At 38.3% G+C, this 20,650-nt stretch overlaps 1 long non-coding RNA gene across 2 annotated transcripts; it reads right to left on the reverse strand.

The window, feature by feature from the left end:
- Positions 1–1,353: 1,353 nt before the first annotated feature.
- Positions 1,354–6,527, reverse strand: LOC124902958 (uncharacterized). 2 transcript variants are annotated; one of them, XR_007063355.1, is made up of 2 exons: positions 6,277–6,527; positions 1,354–4,494 (listed from the first exon to the last, which is right to left on the reverse strand). It is a non-coding gene; the product is annotated as an uncharacterized LOC124902958 (long non-coding RNA). The 2 variants fall into 2 exon arrangements; XR_007063356.1 differs by having other exon boundaries at positions 6,249–6,325.
- Between the last annotated feature and the right edge of the window lie 14,123 nt (positions 6,528–20,650).

Genomic DNA, 20,650 nt, shown 5'->3' on the forward strand with positions numbered 1-20,650 from the left:
AAAGAAAGAGATACTGTCATTTGCAACAATGGATGAAACTGGAGATCATTATGTTAAGTGAAATAAGCCAGGCTCAAAAAGATAAACATCACACTTATCTGTGAGATGTAAAAATTAAAATGATTGAACTCAAACAGAGAGAGTAGAAGGATGGTTATCAGAGGCTAGGAAGGGTAGTGGGGGGCTGTGGAGGACTTGGGGGTGGTTAATGGGTATAGAAAAATAGAAAGAATGAATAAGACCTACTGTTTGAAAGCAGAACAGTGTGACTGTAGTCAATAACAACTTAATTGTACATTTTAAAATAACTAAAAGAGTATAATTCAATTGGTTGTAACTCAAAGGATAAATGCTTAAAGGGATGGATTCCCCATTCTCCATATATGATTATCACACATTGCATGCCTGTATGACATCTCATGTACCCCATAAATATATACACCTACTATGTACCCCCCAAAGTTTTAAAAAATTATTTCATTTCATCAAAGTTGTCAATAATTTTGGCATTTGAACTTCCAATAGTGTGAAAATTAAAAAATAATAATTTTGGCATAAAGTTGTTCACAACATACTCATTATCCTATTAATATCTATAGCATCTGTAGTGATTTCACCTTTTTTATTCCTGATATTAGTAATTTCTGTTTTCCATTTTTGTCCTTATCAGTCTGACTAGACACCTATTATTTTTATTGACCTTCTCTAATATTCAGCTTTTGGCTTCATTAAGCTTTATTGTTTTTGTGACTTCTATTTCATTGAATTCCAATCTGATCTTTATTATTTCCTTTCTTCTGCTTACTTTGCATTTTATTTTTTCTTCTTTTTCTGGCTTCTTAAGGGGAAGCTGAGATCATGGATTTGAGAAATTTCTTCTCCGTTACTGGAGGTATTTAATACTATAAATATAATACTAGTACTATAAATTTTAGTACTATACATGTAATACTAGTACTATAAATTTTAGTACTATAAATTTCCCCTGAAGTACTTCTTTAGTGCCATCCACAAATTTCAATATGTTATTTTTTAAATTTTCAATTAGTTCAGCATACTTTCTAATATGCCTTTTGATTTCTTCTTTTATCAATGGGGGTGTTTAGAAGTGTATTATTTTGTTGGCAAGTATTTGGGAATTTGCCATAAAACTTTTTATTATTGATTCCCAATTTAATTCCATTATAGTTAGAAGAAATATTCAGTTGGGCTTCAATTCATTCATACATATTGAGACATGTTTTATGGTCCACAATATAGACTATCATTTTAATGTTCCATGTGCATTTGAAAAAAAAATGTGTTATACAGCTGTTGTTTGGTGAGGTGTTCTATGCCAATTTGTCATGTTGGTGGGTAGTTTGGTTCAAGTCTTCTATATCTTTACTGATATTGTTCTATTATTATTGAGGGGTATTGATATATTTGTCTATAGTTGTAGAGTCATCTATTTCTCTTTGCCGTTAAATGAATTTTTGCTTCCTGTATTTTAAATTGATTTTATTAGGTACATAAGCATTTAGGATTGTTACGTACTCTCAATGAATTCACCCCTTATTCATTATGAAACGAACTTCCTTGTTCCCAGTGATATTAATATTGTTTGCTCTTGCTCTGACATTCATATAGCCACTTCAGCTTCCTTTTGATTAGTCTTAGCATGTTAACATGGCTGTTCAGGCTACCATAACAAAACAGCACAGGCTGGGTAACTTAAACAACAGACATTTATCTTTCCACAGTTCTGAAGACTGAAGTCCAAGATCAAGGTGCCAGCAGAATTGGTGTCTGGTGAGGTCTCTCTTCTTGTCTTGCAACTGGCTACCTTCTTGTAGTGTCCTCACACAGCTTTCTCTGTGTGCAAGCAGAGAGCAGGGTGGGGAGAGAGAGAAAGAGAGCAAGTTCTGGTGTCTCTTCCTTTCCAGTTCTGTTGGATTAGAGTCCCACCCTTATATCCTCATTCGACTTTAATCACTTCCTTAATGCCCTTATCTCAAAATACAGTCAAATTGGGGGTTAAGATTTCATCATATGAATTTTGGAGAGACACAGTTCAGTCCATAGCAGCATGGTATATCTTTTCCATCCTTTTACATATAACTCATTTTCTTTTAGTATGTGAAGTGTTTTTCTTATAGGAAGAGTAGAGTTGAATTTTGCATTTTTACCCAGTCCTAACAATCTCAGTTGGGGGGTCAAAATAATAACATTTAATGTGATTATTGATATGCTAAGGTTTAAATTTGTCACCTTGCTATCTGCTTTCTATTTATTCCAAGTGTTATTTGTTCTCCCTTTGTACTTTTTCTGCCTTCTTTTGGATTATTTTTATTAACTCATTTTATCTTCTCTGTTGGTTTATTAACTACAACTTTGATGGATACACACACACGCGCGCACACACACACACACACACACACACACACGTTATTTTGACTCCCCCAGTTGAGATTGTCAGGATTGCATAAAAAAGCAAAATTCAACTCTATTCTTCCTATAAAAGAAAAATACTTCCCATACTAAAAAAAAAAAAAATGGTTAAATGTAAAAGGTTGGAAAAGGTACACCATGCTGCTATGGACTGAATTGTGTCTCTCCAAAATTCATATGGCAAAACCTTAACCCCCAATTTGACTGTATTTTGAGATAAAGGGATACATTAAAATACATTTAATCTCAAACATATTTTTTCATTTCTAGAAGTTTGATGTATACATTTTAAATATCTTTTAGTGTCTCTACTTAAGTTTTTGAACATATATAGCTGTAATAGCTGTTTTAATATCCTTGTTTGTTAATTTTAACATCTGCCTCAGGTTTGGTTTGGTTTCAGTTGATTGTTTTCCCTTCATTATGGTCATGTTTTACTGCTTCTTTGCCTTCCTGGTCATTTTTTTATTGTATGCCAGACATTGTATATTTTTTTCCTATTGAGTGTTGAATTTTTTTATTTCTATAAATATTCTTGAGCAGTTGAGTTGTTTGGAAACAGTTTGTGTTTGGGGATCAAACCTTTATGATTTGTTAATCAGGACCAGAGAAGTGTTTAGTTTAGGGCTAATTATGCTCCACTACTGAGGCAAGATTTCTTTGAGTACTCTACCAAGTGATTCATGAATTAGGAGATTTTCTAGTCTGGCTGATGAAAGTAAGCCCTTTTCCAGTCATGTGTAAGAACTTGATACTGTTCCCCTTAATCCTGTGGGATGGTTCTTTTCCTTATCTGCGGTTGTTTCCTCTTATGCATGTGATAATCAGTAGTGTGATGAATACTTGAGAGGATCCCTTTACAGAACTTGCCATCATATTTTTCATAGAGAATATCTTGCATTAGCTGATTGAAATATTTATTCTTGATTGGTACTTGGCAGTCCTGTTTACTACCTGTCCTGTATATGGAATATCACTGCCAACTTTAGCGGGGGGGGATGGGACTGGGTGGGCAGTTCCTGCAAAAACTTCAAATGACTAATTAGAAATGTCAGTGGCATTTTCTCCCTCAGAAACATCGCTGTTTAGGATCGTGAATTTTCTTTTACTCATATTTGATTCGATTATCTTTCTTTCAAAGAATTTTTCTAGAATGAATATTTTACTTGTATATTAGGAATAGTTTTTAAATAATCAGAACACAACTGCTCTCCTCAATTATCATCATTCTCATTACTCATTCCATTTCTCTGGCTGGCAGCCTATGGACCACTGGAAGGCCCGGCCAGGGGTGTGGTCATCAGGACTTCCCAAAAGCACATCTCCTTCCTCTGTGGCTTGACTGTGTGCCTCTCCTCTCGAGCTGCAACTGTACCATGAGTCTCCCTTCCAGATCAAAAGGAAGATCCCGACCGCAGTCCTTTGGAATAAGATTTGCTAGTATTCAATGTTCTTTCTTGTGTCTCAACTCATATCCATATTTTCTTCTCAGAATTCCATAGGTTTAGCCCTTTGGGGGTTTTTACTTTTTTCTTCTTATTTTTTATACTGCCTGTTCCTACTTTATGCTGTGTTTTACCCATATTTATGTCATTTTAATCAGTTCCATAAGACTGTGTTTGAACTCCCCACCTCCACTTGCTTTTGTTTTGGGTGATGACTGTGCTGTCCACCTCTGCCACTTGTTTCAGGCCCTACTACTTTTTCCCTCCAATGTTCCTTCTTTTGTGTCTGCCATCTATTATTGCTGAATACGTTATTGTCGTTTTTGTCTTCTTATTTTATTTTCTCCTCTTCTTCCTTCAGTGGATGTCTTGAGATGTTCTTGCTTCTTATGTTCCATGTTTGCTGACATAGGGCAAAACTAAGAATCTGCGACAAGACAAGCTGCTTTTTCCTCTATCAAAGCTGCCTTCATCGGGCAGCTGTCCTTCATTCTCAATTACTTTATCTACTCTTTTTTGCCTTTTTCACATCCAACCTGTAATCTATATTTTCCTTTCTTCAGCTATATCTTAAACTGTTAAAATAGAGCCTGACATGTAGTACACATTCAGTAAATATCTGTTGAATAAAAGAAAACAATAAATGAATGAATGGTTGTTTGGTAATTATCGCCTCAGTTGTTGATTCTTTGCTTTTATTTTAGTTCCTGGAAGCTGGTCTGCCTGGATCAGCATTGCGTGTGGTGCATATTTTTATGTAGTTTGCATTACCTTATGCCCCACAAAGACCACACATTTCTTACTATACAGGAAGTGCTGTTGCATCCTGGGCTTCTATATGCATAGTGATTTTCCTTACCATGTGTGTTGATGTGTTTTTAAAGTGGGAAGTGGAGGCTTTTGTGCATAGAAAGGAACCATGTATAGGTATTTGAATATTAAAATAACATTTAATTAATTTAAGTTGCAAACGAAACTATAATTTTCTTAGGACTTTAAGTTCACTTTGTGATTTTGATTTTACTTATAAACTAAGTAATTTTTACATAATTTGAAATCATCCTTCCACTTATTTAATTCAATTTTAGCGGATTAAAATCCTTTATAGTCATAGTAATAAGCCATCAATTAAGTTCCCCTAAATTTTTAAAAACACTTCTAATTTATTATATCAAGCAACTGAGTTGCCTCACAAGGCCAACTTAAGCCTCAAAAGGCAAAATCAAAGAAATTGTAAATCTCATAATTCACCCTTAAAACCATAATGAGTCAAAATATTCAAATACTGTCTATAAACATTATCAAATTATCAACTCTGTGACTTAAGATAATGAGAATAAAATTGATTATAAATTTCACATAGAAGTTATGAAGATCAATTTGTCAGATTTCCTAATGTTAGGTTTTATTAAACATTACTAATACTTTAAACACAAAAATTATAACTTCTGTTTCTAAACCTATTAAACAGTATTAATGCTTTGGGTGGGTCCAATTTACTTCATGATCTTTATGTTCAATTTTTAGCACTCCTATAATTGTAAAATCATTTCCCTATGAAGGGGAGCAGTTTTACATCCCAGCTGGGCTGAGGTTACGCGGTTGAAAGACCTGGGGCTGTGATATAGTTACTTATTTATCAGATGTTTAAGATAAACATGGTTCATAGGCTACAAACTTCTAGAATGATTCTGCCCAAGCCACAGACAGACACACTGAGTCTTTTTCTATATGCTGTGTCCATGAGGGGCCAAGATCCTGTCTTTTTGTTGGGATTGATTTGGCAGACAATGTCTCCTGGCCATTTTAACCCCACATTATACTTTTTCCCAAATCTTTTATAACACCTTAAAACATTAATTATCTTATCTTTTCTAGGTGGAGATTTGTGTACCCTATTTAGGTTGCCACAAATTGCTTTTATCACTTGGTTAAAGTCTTCATTTCTTTCACATTTTTTTTTTCAGCTTGACTTTAAATCTTGTGTACAAATCCAAAATTTGAACATTAACTGGGAGTTTTATGACATTAAGGAATTACTGTTCACCATTCTTTTAGGGGTGATCATGGTATCATGGGTATTTTTAAGAGTCTTTATCTTTTAGAGATATATTCAGAAATATTTACTGATGAAAATACAAGTAAAACACAAGTCAATAAATCATATTAGACCCAAAGTATTCCATTCATGCAAATCCTCAGGATCACAATGATTTAGAAAAGGTGAAATCCAGAGGCCAGAGCAGGGTCCTTCCCTAATCAGCTTTATCTTTCATGCTTTTCTTAATCAAATGAAAAGAATCCCAATTCGAGTTAAAGTAGCAAAATCTCCCCTCCGCCCTCTCCGCTCTCTCATTTCCCCTCTCCCCTCACTTTTGATTCTTTTTGCCTAGGTTTGGACCTGATGTTTAGTCTTGTTCCACATGGTGGCAAGAAGGCTTCAGGTAGCTCCAGGGTTGTATGGTACTGACAGCTAGCAGTCTCAAAAGGAGAAACTCAACGGCCAGCATCCATGACAATTACTCCAGAGAGCACTGATTGGCCATGCTTGGGTCATGTGTATTCCTCTGGACCAATCACTGTGACTCAGGAAATGGGGTGTTCTGATTGAACACCCTGGATCACAGGGTAGTGGGAGAAGCAGGGCCCTTTGATCCATAGACTCAAGAGAATGATTTGGAGTTCGGGAGGGGCAGTTTTCTGCAGTAAGGAACACCAGACAAACAAAAAAGTGGCAGATGCCCATTACAGAACAAAATATATTCAGACAATTTTGTGAGATTCATGTATATCAAGTCTTTGGCTGTTCCTGCTGCCAGCTACAATCGTTGTCTGTCCCAAATGGAAAGGCACTTGGCAGCTGATTAACTCAATCCCTTCTTCCTTGGCATAGCACTATTTCATTTTTGTATTGCTCAGTTCCAAATCTGTCTTTTACTTTTCCTGGAACTGCTAATACATTACAGTCTTTATCCAAGTCACACAAGGTCTTCTATATTTGTTTTTAATTTGGAATCATCACCAAGTTTTTCCAGAATTCTATGTTCTTTCCTATAGATATATATTCTCCAGGATAACTCCTGTTTCCCAGCTAAGCCAACTTCCTGGGGATTTGAATTACTGAAAAGATGTCCCTTTAGGCTCATCCCAATTCATGTAATAAATTGAGTCCCAGTGCATAATCTTACAGTCAGCTGCTTTTAAAATGAATTCTAAACTCAATTGAGTTTCCATTCAAGAGGCATTTCCTATTCCTACTTTTATCTTCCCCTGTCAGAAAATGCAGAGCTGCTTCTAGTTTCCTGTCCTCCTGGGATGCTGCTGCTGCTGCTGATGATGATGACAATTATAATAAGAAGGTAGTTAATATTTACTAAGTAAATTAGTGCTGGCATTGTGCTAGGTATTTAGTGCAATCTCTCTTTTAATCCTGACAATGTGCCATAAGGCAGATGTCAAACCCCAATTTTACATAGAGGGAAATAGGCTCAAAGTGGGGACTTACTCCAGGTCACACAGCCAGTAGGTGGACTATCTGAGATTTGAAACCAGGTCAATCCAACCCCAAATGCCACGCTCTTTATCCCTGTGGTTAGACACATGAAACTATCACCTTTCTTTCCCTTTTCTTATTCCTCCTCCCCCATCTTACTGGTTTTGCTTTCCTTTCCAGCCCCTTCCAATTCTTTTATCTTTTTTCCTTCCTCTCTTACACAAAGGTTTAATTTGCCTTCCCCATAGTAGGCACTTAATAGAAAGTTGTTGAAATAGTTGTGTTGCCAATTTATTGAACAGTCTAAATTTATGCTTCCATATTGATGGTCATTGGATCCCTTCAACCACCTCTGTAAGGAAAGCTAGGTGTTATTCCTATTTCATGCATCAGAAAATTAAACATAGACAATGAAAGAATAACAGACATGTAGGGTCAACTCGTTTTATCGGAATGAGGGGTTAAAGCCATTGAACAGGTCATGCCCTAATAGACTCTTGAAAACCTGAAAAAGCAAGCGATTGATCTGCCTCATTTAGAATAAATGCCCGAGTCCTTTCCATGGTCTGAGCCTCTTCCTTTTTGTCCTTTTTATATTCTCAGCCTCCGGGCCCCAGGCTGTTTCTCCCATAGGCAAGCTTTTACCTCAGGGTTCTGCTCTACCCCTATTGTCTCCACCTGGAGCTCTCTCCCTCAGAAGTCAACAAGGCTCTCTCTCTCTCTCACCTCTTTCAAGTCTTTGCTCAAATGTCTCCTTAGTGAGGGCTTCCTTGGCTACTGTATTTAAGGCTTCCATGGCTACCATAACTAGGCTACTCAGTTCCTATAGGATTCCCTTTCCCCTTTCCTGTTTTACTTTTCTCCGTAGAACTTTCCACTTGTTAAATTAATATCATTATTTAAAATTTTCTGAATTTAAAGAATGTTTGCTCCATTAGGACAGGAATTTTGCCTGTTTTCTTTACTAGTATACAGTAGGTACTCAATAAATTTTCACGGAATGGATGAATGAATAAATGCAGATTTTCATTCATTCATTTATTCAAGAGACATTGACCACACAGGAGATGAGCTGCCTGTCCTCCTGCCTGCTTTGTTTGAACACCTCAAGGAGGAAGGCTAATAAAAGTCCAATGCCAAATATGAAAATAAATATTGCAGTCAGATGTTGAGTAATAAAAAGTAGTGTAAAATTGCTGTCTTAATCGCTATGCCATTGGAGAAGCCCAGTTTAAGACAAGGAAAGATCTGTAAGACAGGGTCAGCCAGGGAAAGATAGGAAAGGAATTCTAGAGACAGAATCCTTCCCCTCTGCTCCAGCCCAAGATGCTGCCTCCTGTTTTCTGAGAAATAAGAAGGCAGGTCTATTCCTGTTATCTTGGGACTCAGCAGGGCAGCCCTGTTCTTTAACAAGACAATCTTTCAATTTATGTGACTTGCATATTTTAGAATAAATTCTGTTAATATGCAAGCACTAATACTGTAATACAATCATTTCTACTTCCTGCCAGTGTTTTATGTCTAAGGCGGCAGCTCAGTGCAGAAAGAAATTTAGGTAGGCAAGGGAATAACACTGCTTTCCCTTCATGCTCAACAATGTGCCACCTGACATGGGATTCTTTTCAGTTCATTTGTTTGTAATTTAAACCAATTCCTGTCTCAGCATTGGCTCATGCCTGTAATCCCAGCACTTTGGGAGGCCGAGGTGGGAGGATCACTTGAGCCCAGGAGTTTGACACTAGCCTGGACAACATAAGGAGGCCTTGTCACTACAAAAATAAAAATAAATAAATAAAATAAAATTAGCCGGGTGTGATGGTGCATGCCTGTGATCTCAGCTACTTGGCAGGCTGAGATGGGAGGATCACTCAAGCCCAAGAGATAGAGGCTGCAGTGAGCTGTAATTGTGTCATTGCACTCCAGCCTGGGCAACAGAGCAAGACCCTGTCTCAAGAAAGATACAGTAAAATAAACAAACAAATTTTTGACTGGGAAATGTCTGTTAAAACATCAGGAAGACTCCCAAATTAAGGAAAGGACTATCACCATCAACCTCAAATTGAAAATTAAATCATTTTTCAATGTCTTGAAAAATCATACAGAATCTCTACAAGTCTTGGCTTTGCCTTAATAATAGTCAGTACACTGGCCAACGATGGCACCAAGATTAAAGGAGGAGGTGAGTCTGGAAACACATGAACTTGACCTTCTACAATCGATTTCCTGTGAGGGAGACTCTGGACATGGGCAAAGCTTTAAGCCAAAGATCTGTGATGCTCAAGGCTCATCCAGGCATTGGCAGTGTATTCAATGTATAAAAAAAATTCTTTTATTTCCAATGACCTGTTTTATGTTAATTTTATTGTGATGTAGAAAAATAACTAGTGTGTCCTTCAACTTACTTGCCAAAACCTACTCTTTTAAATATTTTCTCAGGAGAAAAGTCATTTTAATTTTAACTTAAAAAAAAAAAAACCACAACTTTTCAGGTAAATTGCCAAACAGATGTTTAGTGCTTAGAGTCTCAGGGCAGCCTTTGTGTTGTGGTTGCAAACATACCTATCTTCTAGATCAGAGGTCAGGAAACTACATCTCTGTGTCACAAACACGACTGCCGTGTGTTTTTGTAAATAAAGTTTAGGATAACCACAGTCATTCATTGCATATTGTCCACTGTCTACTGTCTACATATATTGTGTACTGTCTCTGGGTGCCTTCCCTGCTATGGCAGAGTTGAGTAGTTGAGATAGAGACAGCATAGCCCACAAAGCTTAAGATATTTGCTCTCTAGCCCTTGACAAAGAAGTTTGCCAACTCCTAATCTAGTAGAGGCAAATTTCTGTTATAAAGTCTGTACTTATGTTTACTCATGAATGCATCCATTCTTTTAGAATAACATGGATCATAGTGTACATAATAAACTGTTCCAAAATGGCAATATGGTTTAGTGACCATATATTATTGTCACCATTTCCCTTATTATGTTAACTTCTATTAGATGAAAATGCTATTCTGTAAAACAGAATTATGAAACAGTATACACAGCACAGTGTGAGAGTCAATGGCAAGACATTGCACACAATGAAACCCAGTGAAATGTGAAGAGGCTAACCGGGAAGTCTCCGTAAGTGCATATATTTCACAGCTGTGGTGCTAAGAGACAGATTGCTTGGAATGCCATGAGTAGACAAAGCCAAACAAAAATGAGAGCATGAGGAAATTTTTCTGGTGAAAACAATTTTTCCTTACAAATTTGAAATATTTTCCCTTTTATGTTATATTCTTTTTTTCCCCTTTTGAAGTAACATGGCTTCATCCTCTGCCAAATGTATTCCTTCCCACCCCTACCCCACTTTTGGTTTCTTCAATAAATAAAAATTGATTCCTTCACCTCGTTCACATGGACAGTTTCACAAGCTTATAGTGCATGTTGAAAGAAGTGTTGGATTGATTTTTTTTCAGTAGATGAAAACAGTAAAATTGTTAAACTGCATTAAAAAATTTTCCATATAATTGAAGGTGAAGGCATCAATAAGCAAAGCACTTTTAAGGCAATACTAAGGTTCTCAGCCTTTGGACTGTATTGCTTTTCTTCTCCCCATCACGGGGAATGAGATCCATTCTTGGCTGTTTAGTATTCTGTAATGAAAGGAAAAGTCACTCCCACATTTTTTGGGGTAGAGAAGGGGTTGTTAGTCAGCAGGACTATCAAACAACAGTAGTCATTGCTGTTGCCTGGGCTTTTGAGGGGACCAAAGGAGACCAAACCGAAAGGTTCTGTAAAGTCTGTCTAAGTGAAAGATGTTGCTGTTATCATCTGATTTAGTCATCGAAACCTCCTAAGAACCTCTACAGAGGTTTGAGATGGGGAAGGAAGGAAGTGAAAGTAAAATCAAGCATTTCTGTGACTATTTAAAGCCACCCTAGCAATAAGCCTTGCATGGTAAAGAGTTGAAATTGAATGAGGCTTTCAGTTTTCTGTGGGTTTCACTGATTCACATTAGCCCAAGGGCTTTTTGTGTCTCCCCATGTAGCAGTAGTTACACCCCTGGTTGGCATGAGATAAAATCCTGCCGTGCACACAGAAACCAACTTCTTAGGCATTAGTCAGGGTCTCTCTGAAGTAGAAGTGCCTGAGCCACTTCCGTTTTTTTATTTTTAATACTCATGATGTGTTAGAAAGTGAAGAAATGCCAAGACAGACTTACAAACACTGTGGTATACTTTTTAATGTTTATGTTTAAGAAATTAGTAGTCTTAACACATGCATTTAAGTAAGTGCAATGTAATTATTTTGCTTTTCAAAAGATTTCAACATAAAGAAGCATTTCTACAGGGTATACTATAGGCAGTGGGACCCAAGTTTAAGGTTGTGTGAGGGACAACTCCCTCCAGTCAGACGAGTGAAAGTTACTGCACATATAATCTCACTTGGGGATGATGTCAAATGTCCATGTCTGCGACCCTGTCTAAACTAGGAGGCTGGGCTAAAAGGCTCCCTTGCCCTCCTTCTCCCAGCTCCCCCCACCCACTGCCACCACTGAGACCAGATCGTAAGTACACAATTATGCCTGTGTGGGGAAGTGGGGAGGAGAAACACAAGGTATGATGGAGAGGTCCATTATGTACTCTTACACAAATATTTTTCAAGTGCATACTATGTGCAGAGGTAAGAAGATAGTACCATAGTTAAACTCATACTTAGGGTTTAAATCCTGGCAGTGTTATTCCCTACTTGAGTTATAAAACTTCTCTAAGCCTTAATTTTCTCATCAGTTAGCTCATTTGTGAGGTGCTTCATTAGTTGTTATGAGGATTAAATGACTTACCCACATAAAGTTATCTGAACAGCACCACCTTGCACTGTGAGCAAGCAGTATAAAAGTTCTTGACCTCAGGGAGCTTAATTTCCATCTCCCTCACTGCATTTTGCTCTCAGCTCTCCTGTCTGCAAGCTGGTCTACCTGAAACAACTGCCTTGCAATATCAAAAGATATCTGATAAAACGGGTAAATATAGCTCCACTGATGAGGACAAAAAAAAATCAGCTGTATTAAGGAAATTCTCTTAAAAAGTCATTAATCTTCCATTCAACAAGCAACAATGTGTGTTAGACACTGTTCGGGGAATGCTGATATTGTAGTGAACAAACCAGGTGTGGTTCTGTACTCATGGGTGGGAAAGATATTGGATACATACATTGTTCTGCACAATGTAAACATTTTGTTGCAGTATGAAGTGCATACAGAAAGTGCACAAATAAGTGCACAGCTCAACTCATTTTCATGAAACGAATGCACACATATAATTAGTACCCAGTCCAATAATCGGAATCTTACCAGAACCCCAGATGCCTTCTTGTGCCTCCTTCCACTCACAGTCACTTCCAAGGGTAAATATTATACTCATTTCTGTTAGGTTGGTCCAAAAGTAATTGCGGCATTTACCATTAAAGTAATGTGCAGTTTTCCTGCACACATTACTTTAATGACAAAAACCACAATTACTTTTGCACCAACCTAATAAAAGTCAGTATAGTATTCACTGCCAGGATTCAAACTCTAAAGTAATGGCAAAAGCCGCAATTACTTTTGCACCAAAATAATACAACCACAGATTACTTTTTCCTGTTGTAAAACTTTATGAAAAAGGAATCCTGACGTACTCTTTTGTAATGGGCTTTTTTTTTTCACTCAACATTATGTTTGTGAGAGTCATCCTTTTTTTGTATGTAGCTATAGTTTATTTATTCTCATTCTTGCATATTGTTCTCCTATATTGTATGAATTTACCATGATTTTTGTATCCATTCTATTGTTGATGGACATTTGGGTTGTGTCCAGTTTGGGAATATTACAAATACTGCTTATGTTACTATTAATGCTGTTAACATTCTTGTTCATGCCATTTGTTAGATATACATATGTATTTCTGTTGGGCATATTTTTAGGAGTGGAGTTGCTGAGTATAAGGTATGGGTATGTTCAGTTTTAGTAGATACTGTCAAACAGCTTTCCAAAGTAGTTGTAACAATTTACACTCTGGTCAGCAGAATAAGAGAGTTCTGGTTGCTTTATATTGTCTGTCTTTTTCATTTTAGTCATTTTGGAGGGTATGTTGTAGTTTTTGCATTATGATTAAAAACATTTTTTTTTTCAGAGACAGGGACTTGTTCTGTTTCTCAGGCTGGAGTGCAGTGGTGTGATCATAGCTCACAGCAGCCTCGAGCTCCTTGGTTCAGGCCACCTCAGCCTCCTGAGTTACTGGGACTGCAGTCCTCCCAGCTCAACCTCTCCTGAGTCACTGGGATTTTTCCATCTTAATTTTCATCTGTGCTTTCCTAATGACTAATGGAGTGCCTTTTCATATGTTTATTTTCTGTTTGAACATCTTCTCTCATACAGTATCTATTCTGACATTTGCCCATTTTTCTATCGAGTTATTTTCCTGTATCTCATTGATTTGAAGGAGTGCTTTAAATATTCCAGATAATAGTCCTTTGTTAGATATATGTTTGAAAATCTCTCTCTCAGTGTATGACTTTTTACTCTCTTAATGGTTTTGGAGAACTGAAGCTCTTAATTTTAATGCAGTCCAATTGATCAATATTTTTCCCCTTCACAGTTATTGCTTTTTGTGTTTTAAGAAATCTTTGCCTGAGACAGTTCTTGTGGAAACAGCTAGTGCAACACTGAGAAACTGTTGTACATTATGTTGCCTAGAGTACAAACAGCACAGTCAGGATAGCTAAAGGTGACCCCAAGAAACCAAAAGGCAAGATGTCTGCTCATGCCTTGTTTATGAAGACAATGCTGGGAGGAAAATACAAATAATAATCCAGAGGCCTCTGTAAACTGCAGTTTCCAAGAAGTGGAAATACACTGAGAGGTGGAATACAATGTGTGGTGAAAGAGAAATACAAATTTGATGAAATGGTGTGGTATACTATGAGCAGGAAATAAAGGATTATAGACCAACTAAGGGAGGCAAGAAGAAAGATGATAACACCCTCCCCTCATGCCCCACCTTCCTCTTCTACTTAGATCTCTGCCCAATAGTAAATCCACAAATTTAGGCATTTCTACCGGAGATGTCGCCAAAAACCTGGATGACTGTTATGTATGTAGAATTCCTAAAATGCCCCCATAAAGATATTTCCCCCTAATCCCAGGAACCTGGGAATATGATGAGACATCACTCACTAGTGTGGTTATCATATTTCATGGCAGGGTTAGGTAATCTCCTTAAGATAGGAGATTATCTTGGAGGATCTAATTTAATCACATGAGACCTTTTAAGCAGAGAGCTTTCTCCAGCTGGTGGCAGAAGAAGTCAGAGAGATTTGAAGAGTAAAGGGGTTATGGCTTGAAGTTGCAGCAGGCCCACCTGAGAAGGAATTCAGGAAACCTTAAAAGACCTGAGAGAGGCCCTGGCCAACAGGCATCAAGGAAAGAGGATCCTCAGTCCTACAACCACAAGGGACTGAATTCTTCCAGCAACCTGTGTGGGCCTGGAGGTGATGTCTACTTAGAGCCTCCAGGTGAGGACCCAGCTTGGCTGATGGCTTGGTTCCCGCCTTGTGATTCCCTGAGAGGAGAACCAGGTGACATCGTGCTGGACTTTGTTAAAAGCTGTTAAGTGTGTGGTAATTTGTTATACAGTGACAGAAAAATAAAACATGCAGGATAATTTTAGTGATGGTGAAAAGCTACCTTATAACAAAGTTGAAGGAGATGTATGGGAAGTAGGTGGCCAACTATAATCTAAAGCAAAGGGATGGTGATAGAGTTTGGCTATTTGTCCTCACCCAAATCTCATGTGGAATTGTAATCCCCAATGCTGGAGGAGAGGCCTGGTGGGAGGTGTTTGGATCATGGGGGCGGATGCCTCATGAATAGCTTGGGCCATCCCCTTGGTGATAAGTGAGCTCTCACTCTGAGTTCACACAAGATCTGCTTGCTCAAAAGTTTGCGGCAGCTCCCCTGTAACCCATGCTCTCTCTCTTGCTCCCATTCTTGCCATGTGAAGCGTCTGCTTCTCTTTTGCCTTCCGCCATGACTGGAAGCTTCCTGAGGACCCCCCCAGAAGCAGATGCCACTATGCTTCCTGTATAGCCTGCTGAACTGTGAGCCAATTAAACCTCTTTTCTCATAAATTACTCAGTCTCAGGTATTTCCTTATAGCAGTGCAAGAACTGCCTGATACAGATGGAATAAAGAGATCATCTAGCACACACCAGAAAAAAAGATGGAAGAGTAAGGTGAGGAGTATGAGAAAGGGAAAAAGAGGATGCAAAAGAGAATAATGAGGAAAACTGCATGTCTGTCTCCATGTGTATGTATACAGGACAACTGCAGTAACTGACCACCTCCTATTTGAGAGTCTGTTGTTCTCACTGGGTTTCATTCCGCAATTGAAATATAATTACACTGTAGTTTTTGAAGCGCTCCAGGAAATGCAAGTGGTTTCTATGTTGTGTTCATGGGTGTCACAAGCACCCAGAAATTCAATCAAAGTTGTCCATATTTCTAAACATTTTTAAAATGAAAAGAAACTCTTTTGTTATCCTCACTCCATGAATTTAGAGATCTGTGAGAGAAGGCAATTAAAAATGTTCCTGAAATTAAAAAAAAAAAAACTTATGTGTAAGGTAGTGTTATTGATTAGAAGTCTTGAGTTATCAACTGTACATCAGCTGTAATTTGTAAAAAGAACAAAACAAACTAGATGACTTTTTATGGTCTGTGCTTGGTGGTGTAATGCTGTAGAAGGTGGCACTTTTTGGAGGGGGCTGTAGCTCAAGGATGAGGCTAAACCTCTTTACACTGCTTCCGGCTGTCTTGTTTTTCTATACAGTGACATAACATTCTGCTGACATTCTTAGCTGTGGAAAAGGGGCACTGGCTGGCATGGGAAGTGTTCTGATTATTTTTAATTAAATCTAGTAGTTTGAAAACAAACTGTAGAGGTCTTCGTTGTCAGAAAACTGCATAGGTACTGCTTCAAGGAAGGTGCATAAGCCTTCTGACCTCAAGCACACACTTTGCAACATTCTGTTATTTTTTTGGTATCATTAGAACGCTAAGACTCCCTTTCCTATTAATGTTTTTATTGAGGCACAGCATAGCACAGAAGAACGCATAGAGGAGGCATAGAGCACTGTGAAGTTCCACAAAATGAACACACCTGGGTGACAACCACCCGTGATGACAAGCCCCCATGCACGCTCCTTGAAGCTCCAGCTGCCCCTTCTCCCCAGAGGCAACCTACATCCTACTCTTAATACATAGATTTGAGTTCTCTCAGAATGTTGAAATGCTTTTGAAGCAAAGTAGAGTATGCTGTTTTTAAAACTGGGAGGAAAAAAAAGAAATTTCACTCCAAGATTATGAAGATCTTTTCCTGTTTTCTTTAGGAGTTTTATTGTTTTATCTTTTGCATTTAGGTCATGATCCATCTTGATTTAGTTTTTGGTGTGGCAGTGAGGCCAGGTTACTGTCTATCCTTGGCCCAACGGAGAACCTGGTGTCTTCACTGGGATCCCTTCCTTGGCAGGTCCTGAGTTCCTATTTTCATCTCCTGAGACTGCCAGAAACTCTGATGATTTTCAGAGGCTTTCTACTTCTGTTTTTCAACCTCCACTCCTTATATACCCCCAATTCAGCACATGCTTTGAAGGGAAAGCCAACTGTGTGTTTGAAACCCTTCAGGTCTCTTTTAGAAGTTCTCTGGCTTCTCTGTCCTCAGATTCTCGGCTCTGCCATCAGCTCACCTCTCTGCTCTCTCAAGTCTTAGCCCCTCCGATTCTCTTAGCCTTGACAGCCCACCACTGCCTTCAAACAGGTGATTTCTGCATTTAATTTGGGCTTTCTTGTTTTGCTGTAGTTCCAGGTGATGTGGAGTAACAGTGCACAGTGACTCCATATCACCTGGAACAATGGAAACATTTTAAATTGCAATTATGTAAAGTAATAAAGGAAAAAAACCCATAGTGCTGTTATAAGAGGGAATATTAGGAGTCTGTGGCTCAAGTTCACTGTGTTCTGTAGAAACACTGTAGTTTATCAATATCATACCTGAGCCTTCAGCACATAGACACAGAATTAGTGAAAGAAGCCAGCAGCTAAATGCCTAATTCCACTTCCCCCATCAGCCCTTCATTTGTAATGAGTAATTTAACCTCTCTAGGCACCAGTTTCTCTGGTTCTGGCATTTATTCTTCATCTTAGTGGCAAGATTTGTCTTACGTGCTTTAAACCCTTGGAACAAAAGGCAACCTTTGACTAACTTGGCCCATTTAAAAAGAGGTACCACAGAGGTTCCCTTCACTCATTTAAAGTGGTGCGTAGGGGCTGGGGAAGGGGTAGAAGCGGGGAGAAAAAAGAAAAAAAAATGGCGTGTGTATGCTTGAAAAATCAAGACAATCACTTTTTGTTTGTTTGTTTTGTTTTGTTTTAAAGATGAGGAGGCAGAAGAAATTCCCACAGGGCCACATACTACCAAAAGCTACTGAGAAATAATCCCTTGAGGAAGGATATCTAGGGCAAATGTCACTTTGCTTTCATGCCATTTCTTCTATGGTTACTTCCACATCTGCTCCAGCAGCCTGGGGTGAACACAGATTTATAAGAAGTCGTTTGTACAAAATAAAATTAAAAGCCACAAGTTAATGCTACCATAAGATTAAGGCTGAGCTTAACTTGATAATATTTAGTGTCCTAGGAAGGCATAGAGTTCAGCTTACTTTTTTTCTCTCATGGTTGAATTTGCAACTGATGATGCCAAGTGATTGAGAAAGGAGTATCTTAAAAGAGAGCCAAGGGACGGGCAGGTGTGGAGGCAGGCTGGACAGTCATCTCTATCCTTAGATAAGGACAGGGATGGGCAGTGCTTCCTGCCAGCTGTCTTCAAGCTGATGGAATTCTGTCATAGAGTAGGGCAGCAGGGACCTTAGAAAATCTGAGTGATCACCCCTTTGGGAGAAAAAAATGCATAAATAATTAATTAAAATTCCCTTTTAAAGTAGGGTCAGAAGAATATGAATGCTGTCTACGTGGGAGTCAACACCCAGAGATAACATCAGTTAATAGAGGATGTGATGGCTCAGAAGATAAACAAAACAGAGTGTAGGAGAATGCTAAGAAAAACAAATGAAGGGAAATAGGGAGGGGATAAAGCAGATGATGAATTGGGAGGAAGCGGCTACTTGGGGACAAGCCAGGGAAAAATGTGGAAAAAAAAGGAGCTTAGAAAAAGCTAAACACATGTAATTGCTGGGGTGGGGGTGGGGCCATGAGCATTCACTAGAAAAGCATCTTCTGCAAAGGCTTGGACCTTGACTTCTTCATTTAATATTTGGGATATTTCTCTTGAGATTTGGCTCCAGGAAAATAGCAGAAACAGCCACGTGCTGAACAGAGAAAGGCCCCAAAACCTACCAGAGGCAGTCTCTCAAGAGAGTTCCGTCTTTCTCTCTCTGTCCTTTTGAGTTCTCATCCTCTCTCTCAATTTTTGCCATGCTTTTTCCATTATTTTATGAAGCTTTCCCATCTTGTCCCTTCTGATATTTCTTACTCCCATCCAGTTGCCATAGGAATAGCCATAGGAAGTAGAATAATAGTAATAAAAACAAAGGTGATAACATATATTATTAGATATTACATGTATTATGGTATATGATTTATTATATAATATATACCATTATTCTATATTCTATATATTAATGCACAGTATATTACTATTAGTTTAACAGTTGAGAATAAGCATATACCATTCTTGAGAGTCTTCTCTGTTTTATTGTGAGATGTGAATGGTCCCTGAATTTGAGTTTTAACTTGGCACTTGAAGATTCGCAGTGTTTTTAAAGGCATTCTAACTCTTGCTGGATCTCAGAATACCCATTCCCAAAACAGTACAATTTCTGTTATTATTTTGAAATACATATTTCCTATATTATAGCACTATGAAACTGTCAAGCAAGTTGTAATCATAAATATAATGATACTTTGTACTTTTAAAGTGCCCCATGCTCTTAGAGCCAGAATTTCTCAAGCATTCTTGCAAGCCAGGCAAGCAATACCCACCAGTGAAAAACTGAAATATAGAAGTTAAGAGCTTGAGCCAGTGCCTTAGAGCAAGTCAGAAATAAAGCTGGAATTTAAGGGAAATATCTTACACTGGACATTGGACTTCTTATCCTGGCAAAGATATAAAATGAGAAAAATTATGAAATGAGAAAAATTATAAATTAGAATTGAGGAAATATTTTAATCAAGCTTATATAGTTACCAATTAAAAGCTAACATCATAAATAATGCCATTTAAGAGTAGTACTAATAAAGAATTTTTTTTTTTTTTGACGGAGTCTCACTCTTGTTGCCCAGGCTGGAGTGCAATGGCGTGATCTTGGCTCTGCCTCCTAGGTTCAAGCGATTCTCCTGCCTCAGTCTCCTGAGTAGCTGGGATTACAGGTGCCCACCACTATGCCTGGCTAATTTTTGTATTTTCAGTAGAGACGGAGTTTCACCATGTTGGCCTGGCTGGTCTCGAACCCCTGACCTCAGGTGATCTGCTTGCCTCAGCTTCCCAAAGTGCTGCGATTACAGGCGTGAGCCACCATGCCCAGCCTAAGCTTCTATTAAAGATAAAGCCGTGTGCTTTATATTTTAAAAGACTTTGTGCAATGGTCAAAGAGAAAATTCAGAGTCCTGGATCTTGTAACATAATAGGGCCAATACGAGCTGGAGATTGCTAGGCTGACATTGTATTTGTCCAGTCCAGAAACTGTTGGAGAACTAAGGTCTGACGCTGTTGCTGGAGGGAGGGTAGTTGGTTAGATGAGAAGGAATTAGGAATCAGAACCTGGAATTTGGTTGGTGTTTGCCGTGAAGTTGTGTCACACCCACAGATGTGAAAACAACCCATAAACGCAAACTGTCAATGCCCATCTGTGTACCTTCCATCTTTCATTAGTGAATAATTGCTAGACTGCAGACCTCATGTTCTGTGCTTCTTTGTAACCCACAACTCTTAGCACCAGGCTGTGTTGAGCATGTGGAATGAAAATTGGATTTGAGGTCAAATGACTTGCATTTAGGTCCCATGCTGGCTGGCTGAGTGGCCTTCAATGAGTCACTTGACCTCTTTGGACCCAACTTCACCTTGTATGTAAGAGGGGTGACATGAATATCTCATAGAATTGTTGCTTCAATACATGAGATACTGGATCTGGCAGAAGAGCTTTGTAAACTATAAAGTACAATAGAAATATTAGTTACTGTTA

Source organism: Homo sapiens, chromosome 12 (genome assembly GCF_000001405.40).
Source record: "Homo sapiens chromosome 12, GRCh38.p14 Primary Assembly".
In the NCBI taxonomy this organism is placed as follows: Eukaryota; Metazoa; Chordata; class Mammalia; order Primates; family Hominidae; genus Homo; species Homo sapiens.